This window comes from Homo sapiens, chromosome 2 (genome assembly GCF_000001405.40).
Source record: "Homo sapiens chromosome 2, GRCh38.p14 Primary Assembly".
Classification (NCBI taxonomy): Eukaryota; Metazoa; Chordata; class Mammalia; order Primates; family Hominidae; genus Homo; species Homo sapiens.
Window position 1 is genome coordinate 201,347,025 of NC_000002.12, and position 22,760 is coordinate 201,369,784.

Consider the following 22,760-nt stretch of genomic DNA (forward strand, 5'->3'; position numbering starts at 1 on the left):
GCTCTGCCACCAGACAGTAGCCATCCAGCATCTCTGTGCCTCAGTTTCCTTATCAGAAAGTGGGGTTAATAACTCTTTCTCAAAGGGCTTTTGTGAGGGAAAAACAAAACAACATATGAGAAAATGACTAGGACGGTTGCAAACAAAATGTCATTTCCTCCTCCTTTTCCCATTAGACGCCAAGTCAGAAACCTGGGCAGGGCCTCTGCTGGCCTGGACCAGGGCAAGGCTGGGGCTCTGAGAGCTGCGCAGCACATGCTGCAGCCCCTTGATCCCTGCTGTTGTCACCTCCTTCATGTCTCTGTGAGTCACCCTCCTCTCTCCACACCCCTGCCTGACGGCCCCAGGCCACCATCATCTTTCTCTTGGGCTCTGGCCTCTCTGCCTTCAGTCTTGCTCCCCCCACAGTTCATCCTCCTCTCTACCTAGAGGGCAATTATATTTTTGCTTGTATATTTTTTTCCCTAACCATTAAAGGACTGCATGGCTCTTTTCCCTGGCTCTTTTCCCAGCACCTGAAACAGTGCCTAATAAATAATAGGTGGTCAATAAATATTTTCCAAAAAAATTAATGGAATACAAAGATTCATACAAAGACCTAAAACTAAAAAACAAAACAAAAAAAAGAAAGAAAAGAAACTAGATAAACACAGAAAACAGTAAAATGTACCGATTACATCCCACCAAAGGGTGCTTTTTCTGAAATGTAACTCTTACTTGGTCCTGTGCCTGCGTCAGACCAGTAAAGGCTCCCAGACACCAGAAGGGTCGGGCCCACACTCCCAGGCAGGCGTCAAGAGCCTTCGAGTTTGGTTCTCATCACCTTCTCCAGTGCCCTCCCGCCCCTGCTCCCCTGAGGGGTCCCGGCAGCCTCTCCCCAGCTTTCGTTAGTTCCCTAGGTCAGCAGAGCACTTCCTGCATCTAGGCATGAGCTGTTCACTGGCCTGGACTAGCTGTCATGTCCAGTTTCTCTGAGACACTCTGTTTGTCTTGTGCAAGGCAGGAGAGAGTGGCAATTAAATGCCCACTCTGGAATCTAGCTGAGCTGAGTTCAAGTCGTGGTTCTTCCACTTACCTGCCGTGCATAATGTGCAATATTAACAGCACCTCCTCCCAGGATCTTTGTGAAGATTCGACAAGGTAAGTATAAAAATGTAAAGGGCCCATGCTTGCACATAGTAGGCACTCAATAAATTTTAGTCCCACCGCCCTCTCCTGCCTTTACTCACATAAAATGATTTATTAGTCTCTTCTTGCCTTGCTGAATGGATTTTCATTCTGCAAGAGAAAGACATGCTCAGAAAGCAACCAGACAGCAAAGAGAAGTTCAAAGCTTAGGAGCTGAACCCTGAGGCCGCCACCATCTGACTTCTGCTCTCTGACCTGACCTTCTTAGGGGATCCCTAGGATAGTTGGGGAACTCACTGAAGCCGGGCTCCTGAGGGCCCCAAAGTAGGGGTGCTCATGAAAAGGTCCTGCCCAAGGAGGCAAAAGACTTGTCTTATGATGTTGGGGCAACTTCTGTTTTGGAGGAGCATAAACCAGCTAGAGGGACCCCTACATATTCTCCCTGAGTCAAGGCTCTGTGAGTCAGGTGACACCCCCCACCACCCCCTTACACACAAACGGGCACACACACACTCAGTTCAGGGAACTGTGTGGAACTCTCTTTATTGGAGAATGAAACATTCTATATAAACAAATGTTCCAGAAAATGAAATGTATCCCATTAAGATACAAATGTTGAAGTTAAACTTGTTTTTCATTCAAATCTTTATATATGCTATATATAAAATGAATACCACATATGTGTATATGTTCACAGTGGCCTTTCCCTCCAGCTCCAAAGCCAGCAGCAATTGCATCACTCCAACCTCTGCTTCTGTTGTCACAGCTCCTTCTCTGACTCTGACACTGTGACCTCCTCTTTCACATACAAAGAAGGACCTTTGTGATTACATGGGATCTGGGATAATCCAGGATAATCTCTCCAACTGAAGGTCAGCTGATTAGCAACCTTAATTCCATCTGCAGCCTTAATTCCTCTTTGGCAAGTAACATATTCACAGTCTCTGGGTATTAGGGTGTAGACGTCCTTGGGAGGGGGTCACTGTCCTGCCCACCACACCCATCACCTTGTTACCTTCTTTGAGCTCATCTCCCACCACTCCCTGCTCACTCGCTCCGCTCATGCCACACTGGCTTCTGCCTTCCTGGAAGAGGTCAGACATGCCAAGCAAGTTCCCACCCCAGGGCCTTTGGACTTGCTGGTCCCTCTGCCAAGAGTGCTTGCCCCAGGCATCATTGAGGCTCCTTTTGCCCCCTTTACACAGGCACTTGCCCTGACCTCTCTACGTAAAGTATCCCCACCGTCACAGCCCCTACCTGCTTTGCCTGCATCTTTTTTCTATGTAGCACTTGCCAACCTCGGATGTAATAACTAGTTTATGGTCCTCTTCCCCTTCCTTCCCCACTAGAATATAAGTGCCAGGAGAGTGGAGACTTTATTGTGTTTCTGGCTCTTTTCCCAGCACCTGAAACAGTGCCTAATAAATAATAGGTGGTCAATAAATATTTTCCAAAAAAATTAATGGAATACAAAGATTCATACAAAGACCTAAAACTAAGGTACATTTCTAAGCTTGTAAAATGCGAGTAAAAATTTTAATTTGTGATTAAAACCAAGATGCAACCCATAGAAAATCTTAGACACAGGACAGTAATCAGCTAAAGAGTGAGTCACCACCCTAAATGCACGGGAGGGTCGCCAAGGCTCTGTGACAATAGCACACATCAAGCTTTGGGCTCCAGGGCAGAAGACAGTTACTGGGGGCACCCCTGTGGAGAGCAGTGGATACAGTGACTTTGAATCAAACAATGCAATGACTTTGGAAGCTGTGGATGCAGAGGACCCCAAAATCTACATGTAGGATCTGAGGTTTGCAAGAAATCAAGGTCGATTCTGGCAATTCTCTAACATCCCTGGCATCAATTAGTTCAAGTCAGGCCAGGTGAGAGGGAGATTATTTTATTCACATGCCTGAAACCATTTCTGCCTCATGGACATAAAAATACTTAGGGCCAGGCACAGTGGCTCACGACTGTAATCCCAGCACTTTGAAGGCTGAGGAGGGCTGGTCACTTAAGGTCAGGAGTTCCAGACCAGCCTGGCCAACATGGTGAAACCCCGTCGTTACTACAAATACAAAAATTACGTGGGCATGGTAATGGGTGCCTGTAATCCCAGCTACTCAGGAGGCTAAGGCAGGAGAATCGTTTGAACCAGGGAGGTGGAGGTTGGAATGAGCCAAGATGGCACCACTGCGCTCCAGCCTGGGTGACAGAGCAAGACTCCATCTCAAACAAACAAACTGCTTGGTGCAGTGGCTCACACCTGTAATCCCAACACTTTGGGAGGCTCAGGCGGGTGGATTGCCTGAGTTCAGGAGTTCAAGACCACCCTGGGCAATGTGGTGAAACCCCGTCTCTACTAAAATACAAAAAAGTAGCCAGGCATGGTGGCGCGCACACCTGTATTCCCAGCTACTCGAGAGGCTGAGGCAGGAGAATCGCTTGAGACTGGGAGGCAGAGGTTGCAGTGAGCCAAGGTTACACCACTGCACTCTAGCCTGGGCAACAGAGTGAGACTCCATCTCAAAAACAAAACAAAACAAAACAATACTTACTTTGGGGAAACAACAGGTTTTGTTGGTTGGAGGTAATTGTGATTTTTTGGAGCTGGTACAAGAGGAGTTAGCCTGAAAGTGAAAAACAAATAACTAAAACAAGAACATTGGAAATTCGGAAACCCTTTTTAACACTCCCAGATTAAGTACATCCCTATAGTGACCCAAAATTGGAATGCATGATCTGATAGCTGGAATCTTTAAAATCTGAGGCCTTTAAAACTCAGGCCCAAGGCCCTGGCACTTGTTCACTGTCCCAGGAAGAGTTTGTCCCCCGATTCCCAAAGCTCTTTATCCCACATGAAGGCGGCAGCTGCCATCAGGGCCCTTTGGTTGGAAGCTGCACTTTGCCGTTGCACCAACACTGAGACTTCCTCATTTAAAATGGCACAAACCCCAGGCAGGGCTGGCAAGATGAGGGTGCAGCCAACCAGCTGGCAGGGAAGCTGGGGAAAGCGAGGCTTTCTGGCCCACCTGGGATTTTCCTGCCACACTTGCTGTTTTAGAAATCTTGTGAGAGAAATGAGGCTACAAATGGATCCCAAGGTCCCTGTGCCTACCCCATCCCAGATAATTCTTACTTGGAACTCCCTGTGGAGTTCTTGCGTGGTAGTTGAGGGGTCTTGATTAGCTTCCGTGGTCCCAAGTTCCAGGGGTCCCAGCAGGTGCAGTAGATGAGAGGGTTGGGGTACATGGCCAAAGGTCAGGGGGAGTCTTGGCTGCTAGATCAGGAGGCTCTTGCTGAAATTGAAAAACAACAGCAGAAGGTTAAACCATTTAGAATCAAAGCAAAAATACAGAAGAATTGGGAAGAACCCAGGGAGGACCCAAAGAACAATGGTAGATTCCAGAAGCTGTTGATCTGGTGCAGGGTCTTGACTATAGGTTAACAGCTCATCCCTTTCTACTCAGTAGACTTGACTTGAAAGCAATTTAAACTTTGCCATAACTGGCTGGGCATGGTGGCTCACGCCTGTAATCCCAGCACTTTGGGAGGCCGAGGTGGATGGATCACTTGAGGTCAGGAGTTTGAGACCAGCCTGGCCAACATGGTGAAACCCCGTCTCTACTGAAAATACAAAAATTAGCTGGGCATGGTGGCACACACCTATAGTCCCAGCTACTCAGGAGGCTGAGGTGGGAGGATTGCTTGAACCTGGGAGGCAGAGGTTGCAGTGAGCTGAGATTGTGCCACTGCACTCCAGCCTGGGTGAAGAGTGAGACTTCGTCTCAAAAAATAAAATAAGATACAAATAAAAATAAAACAAAATAATTAAAATAAAATAAAATTTGCCATAGCCGAGTCCTTGCTGTGAGCCAGGTAAAACTGCTCAATTATTGTTATGCTGATACTATAGATGAAGCTACTGAGACTCAGAGAAGTCACGGCGGCAGCAAGTTGCAGAGCTGGAAACAAACACAAATCTCTTTGACTCCCAAGCTCCTTCCTTTCCAGCAGGCCACACCAGTTCTCACTGAAGGGAAGAGAAATTCCCACAGCAAGTTCTGCACAGAACTTCCTGGAAAATTAGTTCTGCTGCTTGAGCTACAGTGCAAATGAATCTCCTCGTTTCTCATTCCTGGTCACCTTCTTGAATTACAGAGTGGAAACTCCTTCCCTGGCTCCCAAAAAACAAAACCCCTATTATGAGAATCTTGATGAAAGAAAACTATCAGATAAACATGGTGGCTTGACCACACTGGCTTATCTTCTTTCTTTTCCAGAATCCAACTAAAATTAGAGTACAGCATTAAAAGAGATTTAGTTCCACAAGAGCAAGAAAATGGGAGAGGAGACAAGATTGCACAAGGGATGTCCGTACATGTTTGGCATAGTAACTAGGGCTCTCTCCATAGCTCACTATAGCCTATGTGCCTGCAAAGACAGGGTATGAACAAGATGGAGCCAATTCACACATCAGAGGTCCCAGAGGGTGCAGGACTTGGAACTGGTAGATTACCTGATGATATTGACAGGCAGCTGGTAGATGTGTAGGAGCACATGGTAGGATGAATACTGTCCCTTTCCCTATACCGCATGTCCTAATCCCTGGAAAGTGTGACTATGTTACCTTACATGGCAAAAGCAGCTGTGATTAAATGAAAGATCTTGAGATAGAAAGATTAACCTGAATTATCAGTCAGAGAAGATGTGATAATGGAGGAAGAAGTAGGAGTGATTGAGGAAAAGGTCCAGGAGCCAAGGAATCGGGGCAGCATCTAGAAGCTGGAAAAGGCAAGGAAACGAATTCCCCCTGGAGCCTCCGGAAGGAATGCAGCTCTGCCGACCTCTTGATTTTAGCTCAGTGAGGCTCATTTTGGACTTTGACTTTCAGAATTGTAAGATTGTTGCTTGAGCCACTACATTTGTGGTAACTTTGTTACAGAGCAACCAGAACCAGAGCATTTGGGAGTGTGGGTGAGAGATTGGCAATAGAAACATAGAAACCTAAGAAAATAAAATGTGCAATTACTCCAGGTTAAAAAATATTGAATGAGAAAGTAAACATAATCATAGTATGGCACACACTCATATGTATCAAATGTAAATACTTAATAGTGACTTAGCCAAAAAGTGAACTGTGACTACATGGGAAGAATGAGTGGAATGGGGATGTATAAGAGCCAAATCCTCATCTGCTGTACCAGAAAGAAAAATTAACATACGGAGCACAGACAAATTACTTGGAAGTATGAGGTAAATAAAATTCCAAAGAAATAGATAGCAGAGTTGAAAATAATTGCCTCTAGGAGCACATTGAGAAGTAGAACTGACAGGTCAGGGGATGGGGCAGAAATTGAGACTTTTCCTTAATGAATTTTTAACATTAGTTGATTTTTAAATGATGTCAGTGGATATTTCTTTTCTCTTTTCTTCTTTTCTTTTCTTTTTTCTTTTCAGAGTCTCACTCTGTCACCCAGGCTGGAGTGCAGTGGCACAATCTTGGCTCACTACAACGTCTGCTTCCTGGGTTCAAGCGATTCTCCCGCCTCAGCCTCCTGTAGGTGTAGGCCTCCAGCCTCCTACAAGTGCCCACCACTATGCCTGGCTAAGTTTTGTATTTTTAGTAGAGACTGGGTTTCGCCATGTTGATCAGGCTGATCTTGCACTCCTGGTCTCAAGGGATTCTCCTGCCTCGGCCTCCCAAAGTGCTGGGATTACAGGCATGAGCCACTGTGCCCAGCCATGTCAGTGGATATTTCATTAGTAATAAAAACAAATGCCAAAAATGTTATAAGAATCAATGGCCTAACAGAAGCATTAAAGTGATAGCAGATTTAACTCAAATGTCTAAGTCTATGATTAGTTTTCAATATTACACTGGAATACATTTGCTTAAGAACCTGCTGAAAAAATGAAATCAACCTTTGTCTCCAACACGACTGATGCTTGAGAAACCCACTGATGGTGTCTAATGACCTTAAGAGCTACAGAGGACCTTAAGGTTGAATCTGTTTTACATATGAGGATACTAAAACTCACTCACTTGTAACTGCTGCTTTAACAGTACAAATCTTTAGAGGCTCGTGCTGTGAGTCCTGTGCTAGATGCTGGTTGGACCTTGCCCTCAGGGAGCTTGCAGTCAGCAGAGGAGTCGGCAGAAAGAGAGCTAAGTGAGCAGTGGAGCAAAGGCAAGAGACCTGGCCTTGGAAGAAAGGCAGCGTGTGCAGGGGTTGGCTGGGCCAGAGGCCTGGGACTAGGGAGTCTTCTGCAATAGAGGTCAGGGCTAGAAAGGAGTCCAGGGCTAGAAAGGAGTCCAGGAGACTGGCTAAACAGCAAAGGCCTGAAGAGCAGGTGACAGGGCCGCCATTTATAACTGTCCATACTCCACTGGGTTTGGGGGCCTGTTAGGGCCAAGTCAAGGAGATGAGGTCAGAGAAGCAGATGGGATCGAGTGCCCAGGTGGGAAGATGATGCTACAAGGGGCTGGAATTCAGGTGAGAGTCTGAAAGAAGGCTACAACAGTAGCAAAAAAGAAACTGCTTCTGCTTAGAACCTTGTATCTGCTTCCTGTACGAAAGGAGCCAACCCTGAACTTGGGAGATTTAGCAGGAGTCCATGGGGCAAGAAGTGAGAGGCTAAGGCAGGCCCACTTCTAGCAACTGCCTTCTCTCTTCTTGAAGGCCAGGACTCCACTATGGAGTGCTCTCTGTGCCTCAACACCTCCACTAAGCCTTGCAAAGTGGCTTGTCCACAACGGGCATTTGATGAATATTTCTTACCTGACTAGTAAACTTAGTGGTTGTAATCAGCTCATCATGGTGGTTGGGGCTAGCTCAACAAAGAGAAAAAGATGGTATGGTGGCTGATGCCTGTAATTCCAGCACTTTGGGAGGCCAAGGCGAGAGGATCACTTGACGCCAGGAGTTCGAGACCAGCCTAGCCAACAGGGCGAAACCCCGTCTCTACTAAAAACACAAAAATTAGCCAGGCATGGTGGCACATGCCTGTAATCCCAGCTACTCGGGAGGCTAAGGCAGGAGAATCACTTGAACCTGGGAGGTGGAGGTTGCAGTGAGCCGAGATCTCACCACTGCACTCCAGCCTGGATGACAGAACAAGACTCTGTCTCAATAAATAAATGAATAAAACAAAAAACAAAAACAAAGAGAAAAGAGATTCACAGATGAAACTGCCAAAATGTTGTAATCGTCATTACCATATTATAAATAACATTAAACATTTGCATTCAAAAGCCAGAAAGCAGAGGTAAATTGTATGGGTGATACAATCACTCAGTGGAGTTTTACATAGATTTTCAATGATCTTTGATGAATGTGTAGTTGTTTCCTTTTCCTCTTTCCCATGATAAACAATGTCTTGGTATATATTCTTTTGCTCTTAAGAAAAAAAAAAAAGAAGGCCTCACAGGTGTGGTGGCACATGTCTGTAATCCCAACACTTTGAGAGACTGAGGTGGGAGAGTCGCTTGAGGCTAGGAGTTTGAGACCAGCCTGGGAAACATATCGAGACTCTGTATCTACAAAAAATTTTAAAAATAGCCTAGTATGGTGGAGTGTGCCTGTAGTCCCAGCCACTTGGCAGGTGGTGCGGGAGGATCACTTGAGGCCAGGAGTTTGAAGTTGCAGTGAGCTAGGACCACACCACTGCATTTCAGCCTGGGTGACAGCACAAGACCCTGTCTCTAAAAAATAAATAAATAAATAAAATAAAAATAAAGGCCTTTTTCTTTGAACACCCATGGGAGTGATACTCAAAATATTTAACAACCAGTAAGACAAGGCTATTGAATAATCAACCAGGGTTGGAACAGGGTCCTGGGAGATCTCACTCCCACCTCCATGCCAGGCATTAACCCCTTAGTTGCTGAATCATGAGGTGGTCTGGGGGTGCCAGGGGAGGAGTTGGGACAACCAAGGTGGCAAGGAGGACATGCAAGGGGCTTGGACAATGGTCATCTACCAATCAATATGACAGTATTTTATTTATTATTATTATTGTTTTGAGACGGAGTTTTGCTCTTGTTGCCTAGGCTGGAGTGCAATGGTGTGGTCTTGGCTCACTGCAACCTCTACCTCCGAGGTTCAAGCGATTCTCCTGCCTCAGCTTCCCCAGTAGCTGGAATTACAGGCACCCGCCACCATGCCTGGCTAATTTTTGTATTTTTATAACGATGGGGTTTCACCATATTGGCCAGGCTGGTCTCAAACTCCTGACTTCAGGTGATCCACCCATCTCAGCCTCCCAAAGTGCTGGGATTACAGGTGTGAGCTACCGTGCCCTGCCTATATGGCAGTATTTTAATATTTCAGTAGCTAAAATCAGCCCTTGACTTCTCATAGCTTCTTAAGTGGGAACTACTTCTAACAGATTTTTGGGGCATCCTTCCAGAAATGTTGTGAGTGCATATAACCTTAAATGTTTTGCATATAGAACTTAACCTGTAGAGAAGCATAATAGATTTTTTAAATTATTTGCATAAGTGAGAGCATACTTTGCACACAATGTTGCATCTTGTTCTTTTTGTGTAACAGGATATCTAGTTGATATTTCCATGTCATCACAGATAGATCTGCATTTACAGTGGCTTGACATCATATAGCTCTAATTATAGAGGGGTGTGTGAGTGTGTGTAAGGATTTTTTCTCCCCCTTTTTTCCCTTTCCTGCACTTCTACCTGATGATTTTACCTGAGGCTTGCCCTAACAATAGTCACCAGTGAGCCGGCAGAGGCTTCAGAGAAGTTACTGGTTAGTATTAATAATCAGTAGAAAAAATAATATAAAACATCTTTTCCAAAGAGCTTACCTTGGACTGCCCAAAGATCTGTTATTCTCATGTGGCCCAAGTCAAACATCTTAAAGAAACCACCATGTTAGAGAGAAATGGTTCCCCATCAACACAGAATCAGAGTTTACTTTAGATCAAAAGCCACTTTAGTGGCCATTCCAAGTGGTTGAAATGCCGAAGGAGAAAATTCACAGTATATGTACTGCGGGAAGACAGACTTCTAGTGAATCCAATCAAAGGCTTTTACAAAGGCTGGCCTGGCACAAACATGAATTTCCCTTCTAAAGACAAAACAGTTGAAGTTTCTCAGTATTGCAATGAAATTAAACTAGAGGAGAAGGTCACCCCACCATTCAGATTCCTGTGACTTGGGCCTGAGTTGTGAGGTTTGCCCTTGGGAGATGGCAGGCCAAAGTTTGTTTATTTTGTTGCTATGGACACAGAACAGTAGCTCCTCATTGGCTCAGGGCTCTTTTCTTCAAGAGAGAAGGTTGGGAGAAACAGCCAATTAAATTCTCCAAGACACAAATCAGTGACCACCCTCAACAGCAAAGAATTCATACTTTTAACACTGGATTTCCACTTTCGTCATCAGTCATGGGACAAAAAAGTTTAAGATATATCTTCAGAGGAAATAGAATTCAACAGCACTTTTAGGCTTCATTGGTCTATGGCAATAGTTACCAGGCAGGATCTGTGATGGATTTTTAATTCCTCTGTGATCTACTCACAGAAACCTAAAACTCTAGACACTTTTTTCCCTCGAGTTTAAGGCTTTGAAATCTGTGAAAGTAAAAATCCCCCAAGGCAGGAATCTTTTGCAGTCACAAGGTTTTCCGATTTTTTTTTTTAAATAAAGCTGCTTTTTCTTACTATAGAAAAAAGTACTTGCTTATTACAACCCAGTGGCTTTCATTTTAGTTTTACTGCCACTCATTATAAGAAATACATTTTACAAATTTTGTAATAAAAAAATTTCATGAAATAATACTCTTATTATTTGCTATTCTCTTCTATTTCTTTTTCTTCTTTAAATTAAAGCTGATTATAATCCACTAGATTGATTTCATGATCCTGGTGGGTCACAACCCCTAGCTTACAAAATATTGTTATAAATTCATCTATTCACTCAACTTCACATTTGTTGTCTACTGTGTGCCAGGCACTATTGCTAGGTGTGGGGATATACCTCAGTTCTTATACTCAATACAACTTAGAGACCAATGAGAAAACAGACAATAAAAAAGCTCAATAAAAGCATAATTAATTTTTTTTTCCTTTGAGACAGTAGCTCACTCTGTTACCCAGGCTGCGGTGCAGTGGCAGTGGCAGTGCAGGCTGCATGCATAGCTCACTGCAGCCTTGACCTCCTGGACTCAAGCGATCCTTCTGCCTCAGACTCCCAAGTAGATGGGACTACACAGGTGCACAGCACCATGCCCAGCTAATTTTTTTTTTTTTTTTTTTTTTTGAGACGGAGTCTCGCTCTGTCACCCAGGCTGGAGTGCAGTGGCGGGATCTCGGCTCACTGCAAGCTCCGCCTCCCGGGTTCACGCCATTCTCCTGCCTCAGCCTCCCAAGTAGCTGGGACTACAGGCGCCCGCCACTACGCCCGGCTAATTTTTTTGTATTTTTAGTAGAGACGGGGTTTCACCGTTTTAGCCGGGATGGTCTCGATCTCCTGACCTCGTGATCCGCCCGCCTCGGCCTCCCAAAGTGCTGGGATTACAGGCGTGAGCCACTGCGCCCGGCCGCCCAGCTAATTTTTTTGACTTTTAGTATACATGAGGCCTTGCTATGTTGTCCAGGCTGGTCTTGTACTCCTGAATTCAAGTGATCCTCCTGCTTCGGCCTCCCAAAGTGCTGGGATTACAGGTGTAAGTCACCATGCAGCCACAATGACTCATATTGAGACTTGCCAGAAGCAGTGGGAGTTCATAGCAGGAGTTACTCTTCTAGTCCAGTGAGTCAGGCAGCAGTGTTAAACAGAGAAGAGATCTGACTAGATCTACATATCAGAAAGATCATTCTGACTGCAATATAGGGAAGCAATTGGAAGGGCCAGGAAAACCAGGTAAAAGTCTGTGGCAGTGGTCGTCATGGGACCTGACGATGGCCCTGACTGAGGAGCAGCAGTGGGGATGGAGAGAAGACATGATAGAACTTGGTGATTGACTGGATGCTGGGATGAGCGAAAAGGAGAAGGTGATGATTCCTGGCTTTCCAGCTCGAGCAATTGAGTTGACCGTGGTGCCATTTATTGAGATAGGAAAGTGTGGAGGGATAAACAGGTTCTAGGGAGCAGATTATTAGTTCAGTTTTGGATATGTTGAGGTGCAGGGAGACTAATAGACAAGTGGTGACGTCTGTTAGAGTTTCTTACATATTTTAGAAGTTCAGAGGAAGATTCTGGCCTAGAAGCAGATTTAGGAGTCTTCAGAGTGGATACTATTCCAAGCCAAGGGAGCGAGTGAGATCACATATAGAGAGAGTATTGTGTAAGGAGAGAAGAGGGTCTAGAACAGAGCTCTGAGGACACCAGTATTTACGACAAGATTTCTCAGTGTGGGCCATGTGTAGTTAAAATGCATAGACCTGTTGCTTGATTGCAAGTGGCTTACATCAAAGAGGTTTATTAACCTCATGAAATAGAGTCTGGAGGCAGTGCTATCAGAGTTGGTGCAAAGATTCAGCAATGTCCTTGGAGAACTGGGCTCTTTCCATCTCTCTGTTATGCCAGCCTCGGTGTGTTGATGGAGGGAAGCGTCTTGGTTGCACTATGGCTGCTTCAACTCTGAGCACCATGAACAGGCTAGATGAAGAGAGACTTTCAAAGATTAAAAGGAGGGAAATAACTTAGAGAAGAATTGATAGACTCTATTAGTCATCTAGACAATCTGTCTCCATCCAGAGATTGAATATTTACTTTGAGTGTGTTTAATGTGTAAAATTTTATATTTAAATCCTTTCTTATGATTAAAAAAAAAAAGCAGCAGGATTTGGGTCTTGAGTGAAGCATGGCTAAAAACAGAGATACAGAGGAAGTAAGTGCTGAAGGAATACCCCAGCCACTCGACTTGGCAAAGGCTCAGCACTAATTACTACTACTTGGGTATCCCCATTCTCCTTTCATCTTTTTGGACATGAGTAAAGCTTCGCCAGTTCCAAAACAGCTGAGGAGAAGGAAATGAAGGTGTTTAGGGGCTAAGTGTTAAGTGCTCTTCTCTTGGATGAAATTGGGGAAGTGCTGGCATTCTCAGTAACTTCGCCTAAAGCAAAGTGTCTTACTATTTGGAACAGAGGTGGAGGAGGCCACCAATAGTAAAACAAAGTATAAGTTGAAAAATGAATGAGAGAAACTGCAACTTAATTCTGACAGCAATATTATCAAAATTGGTCTGCACAGGGCTTGGGGAAATAGATATCCTCTTGTGTGATGCTGCAGCATTCACGAAGTGGCAAACATGGTCAGCTGGGAGCATTCGGAGGCTTTCCATCTGTGGAGCGCTATTTGTGGCTCTATGAGAACACTCCCAGTGTGGAAAAGACAGTGTTCTCTTAAGAAGCTTGTAATTATCTCCAACTTGCTCACTTGCTCAACTCTCTTTGATCTTTGGCTTTCAACATCTGACTTTAGAGTGGTGCTATGCTAACTCCCATGGATCATCCTGAATAGACCCGACCAGGTAGCCACAGGAATCCCGTGAAAGCCTGTAGTGCTACCCTTGCACCTAGAAAGAGGGGCCACTGTTCTGAGCCCTGGGCTTTAGAGGGCTCTGCATAGGACAGGCACACACAGAAACCTACATTTGTTCAAGAATACGTGGGCCCGGGCTGGGTGCAGTGGCTCATGCCTGTAATTCCAGCACTTTGAGAGGCCAAGGTGGGTGGATCAACTGAGGTCAGGAGTTTAAGAACAGCCTGGTCAACATGGTGAAACCCCGTCTCTACTAAAAATAAAAAAATTAGCTGGGTGTGGTGGTGCATGCTTGTAGTCCCAGCTACTCGGGAGGTTGAGGTGGAAGAATTGTACAAACCCAGGAGGCGGAGGTTGCAGTGAGCCAAGATCGTGCCACTGCATTCAAGCCTGGATGATAGAGCAAGACTCCATCTCAGAAGAGGAAGAAAACAAAAACAAAAACAAAAACACACGGGCCCTTGATCTGGAGCTCAGCTCTGAAACAGCAGGAACCATAACCCTAAAGATTCACTCTCATCATTAACCACATTCAGGTCTCAGGGAATGCTTCACCACATCTTTTACCCTTTACCTTCAAAACAAAAGATGACTGTGCCCAAATACTGTAAAGGTTTGTGGGTGATGCTGCTGCTGAGATCAGACACAGACACTGCTTTGGAGTGCAGGAAAGACTGGGGCAGCAGCAGTAAGGTAAGAGGAAAGGTAACCTGTCAAAACCTCTCAGATAGCATGAATGCAAGATTTGTGCATAATGAAATATATTTTCCAGTGGTGCTGAGCACCCATTTTTTGCTTCTTTTAATGCCTTAATTTGCAATTCCACAGGTATTCGCATACAGGAATGGTATTTGCAAGAGCTACATATGGTGGCTGAAGAACATTGTGCAATATGCATCCTGAGTACCCTTACATTTATATATATGTAGATCTAGATGGAACATGAAGCCTGGTACCAACTCTTCATATTACTGGATAGATCTAAAGATTGTTTGAGAGATGGTAAAAACAGCCATAGAAGTGGTAGTGAATTATATGAAATTAAAATACTCCATAGCATTTTCTGGCCTATCATAATGTTTGAATGTGATGTGAAAATCTTGCTTTTGAACAACTTAGTGATTTTTCTGAGAAGGCAAGACGATCAAATTTTGTGAAACAATACTTTGATTTTTATATATTTGGGTTTTCTGTATTTTTCATCATCTCATAACACCTTCGGGGTGCTTTCTTCATAACTTCTTAAACTAAAGAACAAAACACTTCATGCTATTGCTGGCACCATGACCTGCCAGCCAACAGTTGTATTTCAGCATCTTTTCTGAATTTGCACAGTAACATTTGCTCATTTGAAAATTTTGTGGTATTTTGGCCCTTAACTCATAAAAACTAATGAAAAACAGAAAAATAAAACTTACTATTAGCCTAACTCAAATTTAATATAGTGAAACTAACAATAGAAGTCAACAGGATGCTTAAAGCCCCAAATCTTAAACCTCATCAGAAGGTTTTTTGGACTTAAACACATCCACTAGTAGTCATTTGTGAAAGAAAACACAATTAAAGATGATGAGAATAGCACTAAATTTGATATCAAAGTAGAGTCTCAAGCTTCATTTCTCACAAGATGGTCATAATTCTAAATGGATACTGAGTTTTTTTAAAAAAACAGTTTCTTTTTTTTTTCCAAGATGGCAGATTAGAGTCTTTCAGTGTGCCTTGGCTCCTTGGAAATAGCAAGATAGTGTGTAAAGATCATCTCTGTGGGTTTTTATCCAAAAAGGAAAATGGGAATCCACTAGAATTGTGAAGGACACCCCAGATGCCAGGGAGGAGAATGTGGACAAACAGCCCCAGTGATGGCATGCAGCTGATAAAAATGAGTGAAGCCCTAGTACATGGGAGAGGCAGACAGCCTCCCTCTATGACTCACCTTTCCACTTGGGATCCAGGCAACCCAGGCTGAGGGAGAGCACTTTGTTTCTCGCAAGCTCTGGAGCTAACTTGGGGAAGCGGCTTGGAAACACTGTGAGGAAAAGACATAGAGAAAAGCTGCAAACATTTTCCCAGACTCAGGACTGAAAGCAGGGTGCCATTTTTAATCCAGGCATTCTTTGGTGACCTAGCAGTGTGGCCACACAGGCATTTTAGTCTTGGGTCAGCAATTGGAGCACCTGCTCTGGCTTAGGGTAGGAGTCTCCATAGCCAGAACTGTGCAAAGAGCCTCAGTAGTAGGTGCAGGGATTGTGCTCTCCCGCTTTGCAGGCCTGAGGTGGGAGGAGAGCTGCTACAGCTGCAGTTTCTCCTGTGTGATGAGACTTGCAGCCAGGGCTAGCTTGGTAACCTGGAACTAGTCTGCATATGTCATTGCAGGGTGACCCAGCCTGCTCCCCTGAGATTGTGGTGCAGCAGAGCCCTCTGCTCCACCCTCAGGCAGAAATCCAGGCATTTGGAGCACTTGCTTGTCTGGACCAGCAGCCTGAGCTGCCTCACCCTTCATGGACATAGATTGTGGTACAGCGTGGCTCTCTCTGCTCCACACCCAGGCAGATCTCCAGGTATCTGGAGCACCCCCTTCCTTGGATCAGCAGCCTGAGTTGTCCTACCTTTCCTGTGTATAGATTGTGGTGCAAGGGTGCCCTCTCCACTCCAACTCTAGGCAGATCTCCAGGCATTTGGAGCACCTGCTCACATGGACTAGCAGCCTGAGTGCCCTACCTTTCCTGTGCAGAGATCTGGGTGTGGGAAAGCCCTCTCCATTTTGCACCCCGGCAGATCTCTAGGCATTAGGTGCACTTGCTCATCTGGTTCAGCAGCCTGAGCCGCTGCCCCTCCCCATTCCAAGACATAGATCATGGTGCAGCAAGGCCCTCTCTGCTCCATGACCAGGCAGATCATCAGGCATTCGGAGCACCCATTTTCCTCGATCAGCAGTCTGAGTCACCCAAACCCTCCTACGCAGAGGTCTTGGTATGGGGGGCCCTCTCTCCTCCATGCTCAGGCAGATCTCTAGGCATTTAGAGCACTCACTTGCCTGGAACAGCAGCCTGAGCACCTCACCCTTCCTGTGCATAGATCCTGGTGCAGTGGGGCTCCATGCCTAGATAGAGCTCCAGGCATCTGGAGCAGTCACTCTACTGGATTAGTTTAAGCCGCCCCCATCCCTTTGCAGGGAACTTGGGGTCGAGGAAATTTCCCAAGCATCTCTGGGTGCTTGGTAGTGGCTACCCACTGCATTCTCCCTCAGTGCTGGTACTTGTACCTGCCATCAGGGGACCTGTAGTTGGACCTGCCTAGTCCAGCTCTGCTCATTTTGGCCCCTCCCTCCCTGTGTCTGAGCAGGGAGCTCAGACCACTATGCACCCCATGAATCAGCTCATTGCCTGAGGTAACAGAGCTTTTCCCCATAAACAAGGATCAAGTATATACTCAGTCACATTGGCCATAGCAGGCTCTTACCTATTAGCACCATCTACTGGTTTGTAGGTTGAACTGCACAGCCCAGTATAAAACCTGCTGACAGAAGTGAATAGGGTTATAGAAGCAAAGCCAAAAGACCCTACCCAGCATTCTTTATAGTCACACTCCCTAGAGAGGGGGGAAAAGGGAAAGGGAAAGAAAAAAAACCCCAATAATATTATAGGGACAGAAGGAAAAATAAATAATCCTAACCTATATGAAAATACTATAAAATTAAAATGCCAGCATCTCCAGATGAGAAGGAATCAGTGCGAGAATTCTGGCACCATGAAAAATCTCAATATAGTGACACCACCAAAGGATCAAACTTGCTCTCCAGCAATGGTCTATAGCCAAAATAGAAACTCAGAAAGAACGGATAAATAATTCAAAGCATGGATTACAAGGAAGATCAATGAGATCCAAGTCAAGGTTAAAAATCAACAACACAAAACTTCTAAAGCAATCCAGGAAATGAAGCAAGAGATAAACATCTTATAAAGAAATCAATCAGAGCTTCTGAAGTTGAAAAACTCACTCAGGGAATTTCAAAATACAATTGAAAGCTTTATCAATAGTCTGGACCTAGCAGAAGAAAGAATTTCAGAGCTTGAAGACTGATCTTTTGAGCTAACTCAGTTACACAAAAATAAGGAAAAAATAATTTTTAAAGGTGAACAAAGGCTTTGAGAAATATGGGATTATGTAAAACAACCAAACCTGTGAATTACTGGCATTCCTGAGAAGGAAAAAAGTGAACAACCTGGAAAACATATTTGAGGGAATAATTCAAAAAAGTTTCCTTAATCTTGCTAGAGGTAGACATCCAGATACAAGAAATCCAGAGAACACCTGCAAGATACCATACAACATGAGCATCACCAAGGTATATAGCCACCAGACTGTCCAAGGTCAATGCTAAAGAAAATATATATATATATATTTTTCAAGATGGAGTCTCACTCTGTCACTCAGGCTGGAGTGCAGTGGCATTATCTTGGCTCACTGCAGCCTCCTCCTCCTGGGCTCAAACGATTCTTTAGCCTCAGCTTCCTGAGTAGCTGCGACTACAGGTGCATACCACCACGGCCAGCTAATTTTTATATTTTTAGTAGAGACCGGGTTTTGCCATGTTGGTCAGGTTGGTCTTGAACTCCTGACCTCAAGTGATCTGCTGACCTTGGCCTCCCAAAGTGCTGGGATTACAGGTGTGAGCCACCGCGCCCAGGAGAAAACATTTTAAAGGCAGCTAGAGAAAAAGGTCGGATTGTGTACAAAGATAATGCATCAGGCTAACAATGGACTTCTCAGCAGAAACCTTACGTGCCAGGGGAGATTGGAAGTCTTTTTTCGGCATTTTTAAAGACAAGAAATTCCAGCCAAGAATGTCATATCCCTCCAAATTAAGCTTCATAAGCAAAGGAGAAAGAAAATATTTTCTAGATAAGCAAGAGCTAAGGGAATATGTTACCACCAGATCAGCTGTACAAAAGATTCTTAAAGGAGTTCAAAACACGGAGACGATAGAATGATATGTGCTATCACAGAAACACACTTTTAAGAACATAGCCCACAGATCCTATAAAGCAACCACACCACAGAAATTGCAAAACAACCAGCTAACAATCTCATGATAGAATCAAAACCTTGCATATCAATATTAACCTTGAATGTAAATGGTTTAAACACCTCACTTAAAAGGCACAGGGTGGCAAGTTGGATAAAAAAACAAAAGCCATCCATTTGCTACCTTCGACTGACCATTGTCACACATTAATAACATCCATAGGCTCAAAGTAAAGGGTTGGAAAAAGATTTACCATGCAAACAGAAAACAAAAAATGGGTAGGGGTTGCTATTCATATATCAGATAAAACACACTTTTAACCAACAACAGTAAAGAAAAGGACAAACGATAAAGAGTTAATTCAACAAGAAGACTTAACTACCCTAAATATATATACAGCCAACAATAGAGCAACCAGATTCATAAAACAGGTACTTCTAGACCTACAAAAAGACTTAGCCACACAATAGTAGTGGGGGACTTCAACACCACATTGACAGCATTAGAGAGATCACTGAGGCAGAAAACAACAAAGAAATTCTAGACTTAACTTCAACACTTGACCAATTGGGCCTAATAGACATCTACTGAATATTCCACCCATCAACCACAGAATATACATTCCTCTCATCTGCACACAGAACAGACTCCAAGATTGACCACATGCTTGGTCATAAAGTAAGTTTTAAGAAATTTAAAAAAAAAATCAAAATCATAACAACCATACTCTCAGACCACAGTGGAATAAAAATAGAAATCAGTATCAAGAAGACTGTTCAAAACCACATAAGTACATGGAAAATAAACAACTTGCTCCTGAATCACTTTTGGGTAAACAATGGAATTAAGGTAGAAATAAAAAAATTCTTTGAAATTAATGAAAACAGAAACAATATATCAAAATCTCTGGGATACAGCAAAAGCAATATTTAAGAGGAAAGTTTATAGCAGTAAACACCTACCTCAAAAAGTTAGAAAGATCTTAAATTAATGATCTAACATCACACATAGAGGAAACAGGAAAAGAACAAACTAATCCCAAAGCCAGCAAAGAAAAGAAATAAGTCAGAGCAGCACTGAATGAAATTGAGACCCCAAAATCCATACAAAGAATCAATGAAACCAAAAGTTGGTTCTTTGAAAAAAATAAACAAGACTGATAGACTGCTAGCTAAATTAACAAAGAAAAGAAGATCCAAGTAAGCCTAGTCAGAAAGGACAGAGGTGACATTATAACTGAGAGAAATACAAAAGATCCTCAGAGATTATTATGAACACCTCTATGCACAAAAACTAGAAACCTAGAGGAAATGGATAAATTCCCGGAAACACACAACTTCCCAAGATTAAATCAAGAAGAAATCGAAAGCCTGAATAGACTAACATTAAGTTCCAAAATTGAATCAGTAATAAAAAATTTAACCACCAAAAAAAGGCCCAGACCAGAAGAATTCACAGCCAAATTCTACCAGATATACAAAGAAGAGTTGATACCAACTCTACTGAAACTATTAAAAAAAACTAAGGAAGGACTTCTCCCTAACTCATTGTATGAAGCCAGTTTTGGTATCATTCTAATCCCAAAACTGGGCAAAGACACAATGAAAAAAGAAAACTAAAGGCCAGTAATCCCTATGAACATAGACACAAAAATCCTGAACAAAATACTAATAAACTGAATCCAACAGCACATCAAAAAACTAATTCACCATAATCAAGTAGGCTTCATTCTTGGAATGCAAGGTTGGTTAAACATATGCAAATCAACAAATGTGATTCACCATATAAAAAGAATTGAATTAAAAACAAAAATCAGGCCGGGTAGGGTGGCTCATGCCTGTAATCCCAGCACTTTGGGAAGCTGAGGCAGGTGGATCACCTGAGGTCAGGAGTTTGAAACCAGCTTGGGCAACATGTGAAAACCTGTCTCTACTAAAATTACAAAAATTAGCTGGGCATGGTGGCACACACCTGTAACCACAGCTACTCAGGAGGCTGAGGCAGGAAAATCGTTTGAACTCTAGAGGTGGAGGTTGCAGTGAACCGAGATTGCACCACTGCACTCCAGCCTGGGTGATAGTGTGAGACTCTGTCTCAAAAAAAAAAAAAAAAAAAAAAAAATCATATGATCATCTCAGTAGATGCAGAAAAGGCTTTTGATAAAATCCAACATCCCTTCCTGATAAAATGTCTCAAGATACTAGGCATCACAGGAAATTATCTCAAAATAATGAGAGCCATCTATGACAAATCCACAATCAACATCATAGTGAACAGGCAAATATAGGAAGCATTTCCATTGCGAACAGCAACAAGACAAAGATGCCCATTTTTACCACTCCTATTCAAAACTGTACTGGAAGATTTTGCCAGAGCAATCAGGCAAGAGAAAGAAACAAAAGGCATCCAAATAGGAAACTAAGCTAAACCATTTCTCTTTGCTGATGATGACTGTATACCTAGAAAACCGTAGACTCTGCCAAAAGGCTCCTGGAACTGATAAACGACTTCAGTAAGTTTCAGGATACAAAAATCAGTAGCATTTCTATACAGCAATAACATTCAAGCTGAGAGCAGAATCAAGAACACAATTCCACTTACAACAGCCACACAAACATACACACAATACCTAGGAATACATCTAATCAGGGAGGTGAAAGACAGCTACAAGAAGAACTGTAAAACACTGCTGAAATAAATCACAGATGACACAAATGGAAAAATATTTTATGATAATGGATAGGAATACTCAATATCATTACAATGGCCATACTGCCCCAAACAATGTACAGAGTGAAAACTATTCTTATCAAACTACCAATATCATTTTTCACAGAACTAGAAAAAAAGCATTCTAAAATTCATATGGAATCAAAAAGGAGCCTAAATAGCCAAAGCAATCCTAAGCAAAAAGAGAAAAGCTGGAGGCATCTCATTACCTGACTTCAAACTACACTACAAAGCTACAGTAACCAAAATGGCATTGTATTGGTACAAAAACATAGATCAGTGAAACAGAATACCGAATCCAGAAATAAAGCCACACACCTACAGCCATTTGATCTTTGACAAAGTCAACAAAAATAAGCAGTGGGAAAAGGACTCCCTATTCAATAAATGGTGTTGGGACAGCTGGCCAGCCATATGCAGAAGAATGAAACTGGACCCTTACCTTTCACCATATATAAAAATCAAAGATGGATTAATGATTTAAATATAAGACCTCAAACTGTAAGAATCCTAGAAGAAACCTAGGAAACATTATTTTGGACATGGGCCTTGGGAAAGAATTTATGACTAAGCCCTCGATAGTAAACAGACAACCTATATAATGTGAGAAAATTATTTGCAAACTATGCATCTGACAAAGGTCTAATATCCAGGATCTATAAGGAACTTAAACAACTGAATGGGCAAAAACTTAATAAACCCATTTAAAAATGGTCAAAACACATGAACAAACACTTCTCAAAAGAAAACATACAAGTGGACAACAAACATGAAAAAATGCTCAACATCACTAATCGTAAGAGAAATGAAAATCAAAACCACTGTGAATATAACATCTCACACCAGTCAGAATGGCTATCATTAAAAAGTCAAAAAATAAGATATGTGGAAGCCCTGGGCAAGATGGCTGAATAGGAACAGCTCCAGTCTACAGCTCCCAGTGAGATCAATGCAGAAGGTGGGTGATTTCCGCATTTCCAACTGAGGTACCTGGTTCATCTCATTGGGACTGGTTGAACAGTGGGCGCAGGCCAACGAGGGTGAGCTGAAGCAGGGTAGGGCGTTGCCTTACCCGGGAAGCCCAAGGGGTTGGGAACTCCCTCTCCTAGCCAAGGGAAGCCATTAGGGACTGTACCGTGCACTCCAGCCCAGATACCGTGCTTTTCCCACGCTCTTCACAGCCCACAGATCAGGAGATTCCCTCTGGTGCCTATGCCACCAGGGCCCTGGGTTTCCAGCACAAAACTGGGTGGCCATTTGGGCAGACATCAAGCTAGCTGCAGGAGTTTTGTTTTGTTTTGTTTTGTTTTTCAATACCCCAGTGGCACCTGGAACACCAGTGAGATAGAACAGCTCACTCCTCTGGAA

General features: G+C 43.4%; 1 protein-coding gene across 11 annotated transcripts in view, besides 1 other annotated feature; it reads right to left on the minus strand.

Annotated features, from left to right (window-relative positions):
* Positions 1-17,265, minus strand: part of FLACC1 (flagellum associated containing coiled-coil domains 1) — a 76,019-nt gene extending 58,754 nt beyond the window's left edge. For 6 of the 11 annotated variants that reach the window (NM_001127391.3, XM_011510606.4, NM_139163.4 and 3 more), the window contains exons 1-4: positions 9,958-10,321; positions 4,268-4,427; positions 3,687-3,758; positions 1,230-1,278 (exon numbers count right to left, since the gene is read on the minus strand). In NM_001127391.3, the coding sequence (NP_001120863.1) occupies positions 1,230-1,278; positions 3,687-3,758; positions 4,268-4,380 (234 nt within the window). In that variant the 5' untranslated portion in view covers positions 4,381-4,427; positions 9,958-10,321. Of the gene's footprint in view, positions 1-1,075; positions 1,279-3,686; positions 3,759-4,267; positions 4,428-9,957; positions 10,322-15,569; positions 15,663-17,095 lie in introns of those variants that run through there. The other 5 variants (XM_024452696.2, XM_047443393.1, NR_110620.2 and 2 more) reach the window with 5 other exon arrangements.
* Positions 16,843-16,892: an enhancer, noted in NCBI's record as "active region_16990". NCBI's record gives its function as "activates an Ori minimal core promoter by ATAC-STARR-seq in GM12878 lymphoblastoid cells {active_cell/tissue: GM12878}" and the evidence as "EXISTENCE:reporter gene assay evidence [ECO:0000049][PMID:35858748]".
* Positions 17,266-22,760: the final 5,495 nt, after the last annotated feature.